Source organism: Homo sapiens, chromosome 19, assembly GCF_000001405.40.
Source record: "Homo sapiens chromosome 19, GRCh38.p14 Primary Assembly".
NCBI classification, from domain to species: Eukaryota; Metazoa; Chordata; class Mammalia; order Primates; family Hominidae; genus Homo; species Homo sapiens.
This window is the reverse complement of record NC_000019.10, coordinates 37,121,092-37,134,051: the sequence shown is the minus strand read 5'-3', so window position 1 is coordinate 37,134,051 and position 12,960 is coordinate 37,121,092. Positions and strand designations below refer to the sequence as shown.

The 12,960-nt window shown below is 39.7% G+C and overlaps 1 protein-coding gene across 22 annotated transcripts in view; it reads right to left on the bottom strand.

The window, feature by feature from the left end:
* Positions 3,684-12,960, bottom strand: part of ZNF420 (zinc finger protein 420) — a 122,467-nt gene continuing 113,190 nt past the window's right edge. For 9 of the 22 annotated variants that reach the window (XM_047438230.1, XM_011526503.3, XM_011526510.3 and 6 more), the window contains one exon: positions 3,684-6,924. In XM_047438230.1, the coding sequence (XP_047294186.1) occupies positions 4,994-6,924 (1,931 nt within the window). In that variant the 3' untranslated portion in view covers positions 3,684-4,993. The remainder of the gene's footprint in view (positions 6,925-12,960) is intronic. The other 13 variants (XM_006723038.4, XM_047438231.1, NM_001329521.3 and 10 more) reach the window with 5 other exon arrangements.

Here is a 12,960-nt window from a genome sequence, read left to right as displayed (position 1 = left end):
GTACCAATCTCCTGCCCTGAAGCTCTTCCTCCACCAGGAACTCAGGAAGAAGTCCAGTGAAGTGGGGGTTGAGGACAGGATGGCTAGGACGGGCCTTCTGTCCCGTGCAACCTCTTTTCCTCCACCACCGGAGCAGGAGCCCTCTGTGGCAGTTCATTGGCCTTGGGCTCTGGTTTGTCTTCTCCAGGGGTTCAACAGGATGGTCTTGGGATCCTAGGCATCATGGAGGGCTGAAGAAACATCAAGGGGAGCCCCAGAAATTCACCACGGGATCCCAGCCTCAGGCCCGCCTAGACAGTGTGCGGGTGAGTCTCCCCAAAAGTTGTCCCTCTTGTCACCTTGAGGACTGGCCTGTGTCTCAAGGCTGCTCTTTTCCTAAAGGGACTTCATCACAGACAGCAGAACCCTGCAGCCTCAGGAGCTGCCTGAGTGTGTGTTTCTGTGTCACTGTTGTATGTCTGTGTGTGTGAATGTAATTTTGTCTTTTTGTGTGTCTATGTGTGGTGTCTAGTGAAATAGTCTTCATTTTGCATTTGTTCCCAGTTCCATATGGTAGTTGGCTGTGATTTATCATGGGTGAGCTCTAGCCTGTTCCATGACCGCCGTCTTTTTTTGTCTTCCCTATTTCTGATGGGTCTAGATTTTTGTCAGGCTCAATCTTATCAACAAAAATAATTTTCCAGTTCATCAGGGCCAACATTCTTGGGGATCCATTTCTATAGTGCTGCTTTCTCCACATTTATTTGTTAATGATTGGGCAGGTGTGATTATTATGGAGTTGTGGGTTTCCATTACTTTTACCAACAAGCTAACTCTGTCTGTGCCTATTCAGATGGCTTCACTATTCACAAGATGATTATCCAGTTATAGCCAGTCTTGTCGTTCTAATAAACATTGTGTTTAATTTCATCGACATTTTTCTTTTCCTTCTTGAGTGATATGTACTTTTTTCCCTTTGTGACTGCACTGGCGTCAAGCCTTTTCAGGTCTGCAGTTCTTCTATTTAACCTATTCCTGTATTTCTGTTTGACCCTCAGCTTGTGATTTTTTTTCCATTATAGTTCCTGTTTGGGTATTTTAGAGTTTGCATTATTTGCTGTTTGCCTCTGATTTAAAGGGGAGTCCAGAGGGCATACCTTAAGCCCTAATTTTGTCCTTTAATAGAGTGTCCAAGGAGACCCAGTTGTGGTTATTCAGACCTGAGTAAGGGAAGATAGCAGCCAGCTCTTTTTCTGGCACCAGCTCCACCCTTCTCTTTGCATCTGTGTGAGCCTGGTGTCTGGAAGTTCAAACTGATCCTCCAATTGCACACGTACATGGCACTAGCAGTGAATTTGCATCTCAATGACCTCTGTGGTTGCCCTGGATGGGTCCTTGCAGCATTGGATCCAGGAACTCTGCAGCTGTGCATTGAGTTTAGGCTCTGGCCTATTTCCTTCAGGAGGTCAAGCAGAAGTTCCAGGGATTCTAGGTGTTGAGGAAGCTGACCAGGCTGAGAAAACTTCAGGAGCAAAGGATACAACATGGGATCCTTCCCTCAGACTGATCTGAGGGTGTGCATGTGACTCTCCTGCAGGGTTTCCACTGTTACCTGGAGGCTGGGCTAACAGATGTGCCTGTGGCTTGCTGTGTCCCTCATGCAGTGTTCTCTGTACTCATCCTCAACTATCTTTTCAAGCTTTTGCTTCTATCACTCCAAAGTCAATACACCAGAAATAAACAAAGAAAAAAAACCCTGTGCTCTTCTCAAAGTTACTGACACGGATACTGATAAATTCAATGGCCGTTTCAAACCTCGTGTTGTATAATCAGTCTGCCAAAGCTATCTGATACCTGTTGATTCTCCTTCAATTCACTTTTATTTGGCTTTTGTGATTCCAGTTTCTTGGTTTTCCTCTATTATTGGTTCTCCTCCTTAGCTTTTTTTCTTTTTCTTTTTTGAGACACTGTCACTCTGTCACCCAGGCTGGAGTGCAGTGGCGCGATCTCGGCTCACTGCAAGCTCCACCTCCTGGGTTCACGCCATTCTCCTGCCTCAGCCTCCCGAGTAGCTGGGACTACAGGCGCCCGCCACCACGCCTGGCTAATTTTTTGTATTTTTTTTTAGTAGAGACGGGGTTTCACCGTGTTGGCCAGGATGGTCTCAATCTCCTGACCTCGTGATACGCCCGCCTCAGCCTCCCAAAGTGCTGGGATTACAGGTGTGAGCCACTGCACCTGGCCTTTAGCTTCTTTCATGTTGTTCTTTTATCATTGAACTCTTAATGTTGGAGTGCTCCGTGGTTCAGTCCTTGCTGTTCTTTACCTTTTCTATACTAAAACCCTAATCATTTAAATAAATATGGGCAATACCTACTAAAGTAATATAATACCAAGTTAGGTATATCTCATACATGAAGTGCCTACTCACTACTGCCATTTTGTGTCTTAAAAGACATCTACAGATTCAACATGTTCAAAGTTGAACTCTCAATCTTCCCCTAAAACCCTGGAACTGAAGTTTTCTCCATCCTGGTTGATGAAAACATTGTATTCCCAGATGCTCAAGACTAAAATCTTTGACTTAAAGTCACCCTAGACTTGTCTCTTTTACATCTAGCCCTTAAACAAATCTTGCTTGCTGTCACATTTACTATATACCTAGAATACAACCAATAACCACTATACCCATTGTTACCTCTTCTTCCGAAGCCATGACATCCTCTTTCATCTGAGTTACTACAACCTCCTCATCGATTTTTTTCAACAGTTGTGTTTCCCTCAAAATAAAGTATCTTTCCAATGGCTTGCACGCTTGGCAAGACATAGCTCTCTGTTATCTCTCAGTTCTGCTCTAGCAACCATCCCTTTGCACAGTGTTCTTCAATAACTTCTCCACTTTTCCTAAAACACTTCAGTGTAGTCCCATTGTAGGACCTCTCTCCTCTGCCTGGAATCACCACACTCCTTCAAGTCTTGGCTCAAGTCTATCCTTCTTGATGGTCTACCTTGATCACTGTATTTCACAAAGCAATCTAAATGATCATATCCCTCCCATTGTCTTTTCAATGACTTTTTCCCCATAACACTTATATTCTAACATACTCTGTGTGTATGATTATCTCCTCCTGTTAGAATTGTTCACTGACAAATATCCAAAACACCTAAGATAGTGGCTGGAATATATTAAGTACCTAATAACTGACTACTTTTAGAACAATAGGCTCCTGTGAGGAAAACATAACCATATTTACTAGCAGACTGCCTTTGTATGCATTGGCAGTGGTCTGATTTCTTGTTCAGGTTGTCACATTAAATCACTGTAAGTGGATTAAGGGTGGAGGATTGAGGGCTTGCCATCATAGATAACATCTTACCAAAGCAATATTGCTTTCAATTGCTGCTAGTGGGCTGCCTAGCTCTACTCTAAATTTATCTCGTTCACAAGACATTACTGAAAGCAGCAAGAAACATGCAACACACATATTCTGAATCACTTCTAGCATTTCCTCTAACATTATAGCATCAACTGATATAAAGCATGCTTGTAAGAGTGGGAGGCAGTGACAAAACATCCTGCCTATTAAAACAAGAATCTTCAAATTCCTAGCTTAATTTGGGCAGTTCCTCATTCTCAATGGCCCTAAGTCAATACCCCATTTGAGATTTCTTTTACCCATAGCATCCCACTTCCAGGTACAAAATTTTATATCCTTAAGAATTTTTATTGTCAATAACAGAACTACAATAGCATCAACAAATAAGATGTTTAATTTTATTTAAAGAGAAACAGGAGGCAAGCAGACCAGAGCTAGTATGGCTGTTCCACAAAGTCATCAGGGTTGCAGACTCCTTCTGTATTTCTGCTCCATGATCCATAACACCCAGATACCATTCTCAAAGTCCCCATGAGAGTAACGGAGCTCCAGCTTAGATGTCCACATTGTAGGCACGGAAAAAAAGACAGGAAAAATGGATTTCGTAAATCTCCTACTCATATAAATATCACTTCTATCTTGTTGACCTGCAAGGAAGGCTGAGATTTTCAGCCCAGAAATTTGTTACTAAAAAAGAGAAAATAGATATAGGGTAGGAAAAAAGCAGTCTGTATCACAAACTCTCATCATTTTTCATTGCAAAATAGTCTGTAATATCAGTTATTTTGTTTACTTCAAAAGCAATACATTCAAGTTTTTAAAAAATTCCTAGATTTATTAGACTTTGGATCTTAGACTTCGTTAAAAATCACTTCACACCTTGTCCCACTTCTCTAACAGCTGTGCTCAATAATACACTGATTACATCCACTGGGTTTTTTTTTTTTTAATAATACACTGATTATATCCACTGGGTTTTTTTTTTTTTAACAGTATGAATTTCCTCTTATAGCAATAATGGATGAGATTTAAATGACAGCTTTCTCACATTCATTATGGCATACAGTGCCCCCCAACCAAGTCATCTTGGATGTGTTGATAAAAGATTTCTCAATATTCATTATACTCATAAGTACTCTCCTCTCATGCAAATTCTCTAAAATAACACTAGTGAAAATGGTAGCTAATATTTGTGGTATGCTACGTTCAAGGCACCATTCTAAGAGCTTTTACATGTAATAACTTACATAATACTTCCAAGAATCTTACAATAAAGGTAATATACTTAGGTCTATCTTAAAATGATTAAACCAAGGTAGAGGTTAAGTATCATGATACATATAACAAAAAGATCAACTAGTAGAGCTAAGATAACGTTGAAAAAGATATTTGTTTTCAATATGGCTAAAGGGCTTCCTACATTTACTATATTAAAACTATTCTCCAATTTGCTAATGTTTAATAGGTTTCCAGTAATGATGTTTTTCTATATGAATGACACTACCATTTTCTCTCACATAAATTATCTGATGCTGTGCTTTATGAGGCAAATGTGCGCCCATATTCACATTTGTGAGAATTCTTTGCTGCTAACAACCAGAGAACCTCTTCATAGTGATCTCAAATAATCAGACAATTCACATGTAAACTTGTGAGCCATGACTAAAGTCAATCCCACATTCCTTATATTCAAAAGATTTCTCACTGATATGAATTCTCTGATGTTGAGTTAGCTGTGAACCACGAGTAAAGGCCTTCCCACATTCCTTACATTGATATGGTTTCTCACCAGTATGAATTCTCTGATGCCGAGAAAGATGTGAACTCTGAGTAAAGGCCTTTCTACATTCTCTGCATTCATAGGGCTTCTCACCAGTATGGATTCTCTGATGTAGAGTAAGCTGAGAGCCATGACTAAAGGCCTTGCCACACTCCTTGCATTCATAGGGTTTTTCTCCAGTGTGAATTCGCTGATGTTGAGTCAACTGTGAACCACGAATAAAGGCTTTCCCACATTCCTTACATTGATATGGTTTCTCACCAGTATGAATTCTCTGATGTTGTATAAGTAGTAAGCCACGCGCAAAGGCCTTTCCACATTCATTACACACATAGGGTTTCTCACCAGTGTGAAGTCTTTGATGTTGGGAAAGATGTGAACTCTGAGTAAAGGCCATTCTACATTCTTTACATTCATAAGGTTTCTCACCAGTATGGATTCTCTGATGTTGAGTAAGCTGGGAACCACGAATAAAAGATTTCCCACATTCCTTACATTCATAGGGTTTCTCACCTGTGTGAATTCGCTCATGTTGAGTAAGTTCTGAGCCACGACTAAAGGTTTTTCCACATTCTTTACATTCATAGGGTTTCTCACCAGTATGAATCCTCTGGTGTCGTGTAAGGAGTGAGCCACGATTAAACGCTTTTCCACATTCCTTACATTGATAGGGTTTCTCACCAGTGTGTATTCTCTGATGTTGAGTAAGTTGTGAGCCATGACTAAACATCTTTCCACATTCCTTACATTCATAGGGCTTTTCATTGGTGTGAATTCTCTGGTGTTGAGTAAGTTGTGAGCCACGGATAAAGGCCTTCCCACATTCTTCACATTTATAGGGTTTTTCACCAGTATGAATCCTCTGATGTTGCATCAGTAGTGAGCCCCGAATAAAGGCCCTTCCACATTCCTTACATTCATATGGTTTTTCCCCATTATGAATTTTCTGATGTTGAGAAAGCTGTGAGCCACAAATAAAAGCTTTTCCACATTCCTTACATTCATAGGGTTTCTCACCGGTATGAATTCTCTTATGCAGAATAAGTTGTGAGAGCTGAGTAAAGACCTTCCTACATTCTTTACATTCATAGAGCTTTTCACCAGTATGAAGTCTCTGGTGTAGTGTAAGTTGTGAATTCTGAGTAAAGGCCTTCCCACATTCTTTACATTCATAAGGTTTCTCACCAGTATGAACTTTTTGATGTCGGGTAAGTTGTGAGCTACGAATAAAGGCTTTCCCACATTCTTCACATTTATATGGTTTTTCACCAGTATGAATTCTATGATGTAAAATAAGTTGTGAGCTTTGAGTAAAGGCCTTCCCACATTCCTTACATGCATAGGGTTTCTCACCAGTATGAAGTCTCTGATGAAGACTGAGTTGTGAATCACGACTAAAGGCCTTCCCGCATTGCTTACATTCATAGGGTTTTTCACCAGTATGAATACTTTGATGTTGTGTTAGGTGTGAGGCTCGTCTGAAGGCTTTCCCACATTCCTTACATTTATAGGGTTTCTCAGTAGAATGACATCTTGAATGTTGAGATAAGTAAGTATGCTGGTTGAAAATGGACATTTTGTCATATATGATCATCCCTTGCCTGAAATATTCCTTCTGATTTTCTTGTTGCTTCTCCATCTTGCCTTTGGCTTCCAAATAATCCCTGGAATTGGACTCTTCAAGATCACAGTTTTCAAGTCTGTCACTCATTTCCCATTGGGATAATTCTGTTTCATAAGTGTTCTTTTCTGGAGATAAGTCCTTACTTGCACACCTTGAAGGCAAGTCTGAAAGATAAGAGAGAATAAAAAAATTGAGAAATATAACTTCTATAGAAAAGACAAATAATAGGAAAATAATGCCCATAAGAAATAACAGACATACATGAGTTTGTTTCAAATATTGATTATTATGACATATAATACCTACCTTTCACATCACAACCTACTATATATATACAGTTTCATAAAACAGTATCTTCCCTGCTTTCTATTCTATTCTGCAATATTTCTACTTTTTTCAATTTCTCTGTCTCATACACATGCAGACAAACCCCACTACACTGATTTCATGGTACAGTAATGTTCCTATCTAGAATTTTAAAAAAAATTAGCTAAGAAGGATCTCATATATTAATATATGAAAGGGGCATCTGAGAGATTAGAGAATAATGAAAACTCACTTGAGAAGATAAGGGAAGAGATTAAGAACAATTTTAAAGTGAGTAGTTCTCAAGCCTTGGTGGGGATCAAAATCACCTGGGGAGCATGTTAAAATTATAGCTGTCCAACATTACACCAGACTAACTGCTAGTGAATCAGAAAAAGATCCTGGAGATCTGTAATTTTAATCCTTCCTATCAACTGATTCAGATTCAGATAATGATTTTCTTTATCTGCTTAATACTTTTTAGTAGCTTCCATATTAATATAAAATCCAAACTCTTCAATGACTTTGACTTATTTCCCCTTCCATGGTCTTCTCCTTGCTTATGTATCTGTTGAGCCTTCTCAGCTTCGCTCCTTATTTGCCAGAAAAACTAGCTTCCTTTCAACTCTGAAAAAGTCACAGACCTTTTTCAATTAAAAGCTAGCCAGAGCCTATTCCATTTCTTTGGACTGCTCTGGATGAGACTATACAAACACTCTTCCTCATTCTTCAGGTCTTAATTTAATTATCAGCCCCTAAATCTTAAACATTAATTTCTGGTAATTTAGGTAATTTAGACCAACCTTCTAGATGATAGCAATTATACAAATTAAGCAAATTATAAAAGGCACCTGAGTGAAGCCACTGGAGCGTTTACATAATAAAGAGTGGGTGGCTAAAAATTGAAAAATATGAAAATCAAAGAGATAAGCCCAACATCTGGGTCCACATTTCCACTTAGAGAAGTCTTATGATTCTAGAAAAAGCTAAGAGGGGGAGAAACTAAACAGTGTTTTGGACTGTGTCACAGGGCTGGGCAACAATAACTGGAGGATAGGGCCTGCCATGAATTCTTTATACTTTGGGTTGGGAACCCTGAGAGCTATACTGAGGAATAAAGGAGAAACAGTAGACCAATCTGGACAGAGTCTGAAGTCTGAATCATCTTTGAATCAGCTCAAATTTCAAAAATTTGGATTATGGTGATTCAAGACTGCTTGCCATAGCAAACTTAAATCTTTATTGGATTTTGTATAATGTTATCCAAGGACTGAAACCTTATAACTTTTCTTTGTGATGTCTAGCACTCAATAAAAACTAGGTAATGAAAGCACTCAATAAAAACCAGGTGAATGAAAAACAGGAGAAAAAACAAAAGAAACTTTGACTTATAAGGACACAAATCATGTATCCACCCACCGTCATACTTCTGTCACTCCTAAATACCCTTGTCCTGTTTCTCTGTAATCAACCCTTCATACCACCCTAGTGGTACATGCCTAGAAACCAGTGATCTGTGGTTTCCCTATAACTTCCTTACACATAGAAACAAAAGCACCTCCATACTAAATCTATGATCCTATATGCCTCTCCAATTGCTCTTTAGCTCTCTCTATCCCTTTCAAATAGGATACTAAGTTGCTTTTACTTATCCTTACTTCACAGTTTCCTTTGTTTCTTCATGCCTTGCCTCATGTCTTCTCTTATTTACTTGTCTATTCAAGGACAATTCTGTGTGTTCTGGGAAGAACACATCCTAGAGTTCCCAGGCACTACTACAGGTCTATAACGTAATGAAAGGGTTCTATAATCTCATGGAATGTTGGAGAGAAAAAAGGCAATTATTCATGCCAGGCGCAGTGGCTCATGCCTGTAATCCCAGCACTTTGGGAGGCCAAGGCAGGTGGATCATTTGAGGTCAGGAGTTCGAGACCAACCTGGCCAACATGGTGAAAACCCGTCTCTACTAAAAATACAAAAAATTAGCCAGGCATGGTGGCGGGTGCCTGTAATCCCAGCTACTCGGGAGGCTAAGGCAGGAGAATCGCTTGAACCTGGGAGGCGGAGGTTGCAGTGAGCCGAGATCATGCCACTGCACACCAGCCTGGGTGACAGTGCAAGACTTCATCTCAAAAAAAACAAAATACAAAATCAGCTGGGTGTGGTGGCAGGTGCCTGTAATCCCAATTACTTGGGAGGCTGAGGCAGGAGAATCACTTGAACCAGGGAGGCAGAGGTTACAGTGAGCCAAGATCTCACCACTAGCAAGCCAGCCTGGGCAACAGAGCGAGACTCTGGCTCATAAAAAAAGAAAAAGAAAAAAAAAACAATTATCCAATATAAGGGAAGGAGTCTATAGTGATAAAGAATATTTCAGTTAGAAATACAGATCAAGAAACAGAACACAAAAATTCTCAAATACTGTTGCTGAGAGTGCAAAACACTGTAACTATGGTAAAAAAGAGTGTGGTAGTTTCTTATAATGTTAAACATACATTTAGCATATGATACAGCAGTCACATTAGTATTTACACTTATGCTCACACAAACATCTATATGTCAAAGATTATAACAGCTTTATTCAGAAGTGCTCCAAACTGGAACTACCAGATGTCCCTCAAAAGGCGAATGAATCAGCAAACTTTGGCCATTCCAGGTACTGGAACATTACTCAGCAATAACAGAAACAAAGTATTGATTCATGCAACATTACTCAACAATAACAGAAACAAATTGATCCATGCAACAATATGGATAAATCTTAAATATATTTTGCTAAGTGAGAAAAGCCATATTTTGATTCTATTTATATGACATTCTTGACAAAGCAAAACTATATGGATGGAATTTGGTGAGTAGTTTTTCATAGGCTGGGAATGGTTAAAGGGGAGAGGTTGACAATGAAAGAAGAAAGCATGAGGGAATTTAGGGATGGTTAATAGAACTGTTGTATATTATGACTGTGACAGTAGGTGGATACAGTTGGTATCTGAATGGTATATCAGATTTCTTAACAAACACCAATAAATGGTGGGTAAAATATGACAAACATCCTTTTAAAAATATAGACAAGATTAAGGCTGGGCGCAGTGGCTCATGCCTGTAATACCAGCACTTTGGGAGGCTGAGGCGGGCGGATTACGAGGTCAGGAGATTGAGACCATCTTGGCTAACACTCGTGAAACCCCCTCTCTACTAAAAATACACACACACAAATTAGCTGGGCATGGTGGCACACGCCTGTAGTCCCAGCTACTCGGGAGGCTGAGGCAGGAGAATCACTTGAACCAGGAGGTGGAGGTTGCAGTGAGCCAAGATTGCACCACTGCACTCCAGCCTGGGTGACAGAGCGAGACTCCGCTCAAAAAAAAAAAAAAAAAAAAAAAGACAAGAGTAAAAGAAAATAAAGAAGTCAAGCAATGAAGTGAGAGCTGAGAGCCAGAAACTGGAGAGGTGAACATGCTCTGAAGTTAGAGCTACCCTTGGGACATTTGCTGGCTTCAATAGCCTAAGGTTGTATCTTAGTGTTCTGAAAAAATTCAAGAGACAAGGCCTTCACCCACAAAAGGGCAGGGATTAGAAATAAACCATTTTACAAAATTGGAACCTATTCAAGGCCTAAAGTTCAGAGACAGGAAAAAATCCATCTGACCTCAGTCTCAGCCATCTTTAAAAAATCGACTTTTACTCTGAGTTGGGGAGCCAAAATTAGTAAATACAAAGATAGTTAATGGGAAAGTACAGAAGCTAGATGGATAGAAATTAGGCGGCTACAACAATAATCCACCTGACTCAGACCAGATGATGGTGGAGGTAAGGGTGGAGGAAGTGAGGTATCATTAGATAGTGGATATATTTTGAAGGTATACTACAGAGGATTTGTTGGTGGAATGGACATGTAACATGAAAAGAGAAGACAAGGAAGACTATGCAGGTTTTGCCTGAAAGGTTGGAACAATGGAAGTGCTACTTACTGAGAACTCCTCACTGTGATGGGGCAGACCTGGGAGGGATTGTGAAAAGTCTGGTTTTGAACTATTAGATATCAAATGAAGATGTTCAATAGACACAAATGTGTAAGTATGTGACTCTGGGGAGGTATCTGGATTACAAATATAAGTTTGAAAGTCATCACGAAATAACATTTAAAGCTACAAGATTTGATGAGGTCACCCAGGGCGTACCTTTATATACAAAACAGAAGGGGAAGGATGAAAAAGGGAAGTTTGAGGATTGAACCCTGGGTCACTTCAGGTAGATGAGAAGGAAACAGCAATGGAGACTAAGAAGGAATAGCCATTGAGGAAGGAGAAAAATTAAGAGAGCACGGAACCCCAGAAGCCATGTGAAAAATGTGTTGTTGTTTTTTTAAATTATACTTTAAGTTTTAGGGTACATATGCACAATGTGCAGGTTTGTTACATATGTATACATGTGCCATGTTGGTGTACTGCACCCATTAACTCGTCATTTAGCATTAGGTATATCTCCTAATGCTATCCCTCCCGCCTCCCCCCACCCCACAACAGTCCCTGGAGTGTGATGTTCCCCTTCCTGTGTCCCTGTGTTCTCACTGTTCAATTCCCACCTATGAGTGAGAACATGCGGTGTTTGGTTTTCTGTCCTTGAGATAGTTTGCTGAGAATGATGATTTCCAGTTTCATCCATGTCCCTATAAAGGACATGAACTCATCATTTTTTATGGCTGCATACTATTCCATGGTATATATGTGCCACATTTTCTTAATCCAGTCTATCATTGTTGGACATTTGGGTTGGTTCCAAGTCTTTGCTATTGTGAATAGTGCCACAATAAACATACGTGTGCATGTGTCTTTATAGCAGCATGATATATAGTCCTTTGGGTATATACCCAGTAATGGGATGGCTGGGTCAAATGGTATTTCTAGTTCTAGATCCCTGAGGAAGCACCACACTGACTTCCACAATGGTTGAACTAGTTTACAGTCCCACCAACAGTGTAGAAGTGTTCCTATTTCTCCACATCCTCTCCAGCACCTGTTGTTTCCTGACTTTTTAATGATTGCCATTCTAAATGGTGTGAGATGGTATTGTGGTTTTGATTTGCATTTCTCTGATGGCCAGTGATGATGAGCATTTTTTCATGTGTTTTTTGGCTGCATAAATGTCTTCTTTTGAGAAGTGTCTGTTCATATCCTTCACCCACTTTTTGATGGGGTTGTTTTTTTCTTGTAAATTTGAGTTCATTGTAGATTCTGGATATTAGCCCTTTGTCAGAGGAGTAGGTTGCGAAAATTTTCTACCATTTTGTTGGTTGCCTGTTCACTCTGATGGTAGTTTCTTTTGCTGTGCAGAAGCTCTTTAGTTTAATTAGATCCCATTTGTCAGTTTTGGCTTTTGTTGCCATTGCTTTTGGTGTTTGAGACATGAAGTCCTTGCCCATGCCTATGTCCTGAATGGTATTGCCTAGGTTTTCTTCTAGGGTTTTTATGGTTTTAGGTCTAACGTTTAAGTCTTTAATCCATCTTGAATTAATTTTTGTATAAGGTGTAAGGAAGGGATCCAGTTTCAGCTTTCTACATATGGCTAGCCAGTTTTCCCAGCACCATTTATTAAATAGGGAATCCTTTCCCCATTGCTTGTTTTTGTCAGGTTTGTCAAAGATCAGATAGTTGTAGATATGCGGCATTATTTCTGAGGGCTCTGTTCTGTTCCATTGATCTATATCTCTGTTTTGGTACCAGTACCATGCTGTTTTGGTTACTGTAGCCTTGTAGTATAGTTTGAGGTCAGGTAGCATGATGCCTCCAGCTTTGTTCTTTTGGCTTAGGATTGACTTGGCAATGCGGGCTCTTTTTTGGTTCCATATGAACTTTAAAGTAGTTTTTTCCAATTCTGTGAAGAAAGTCATT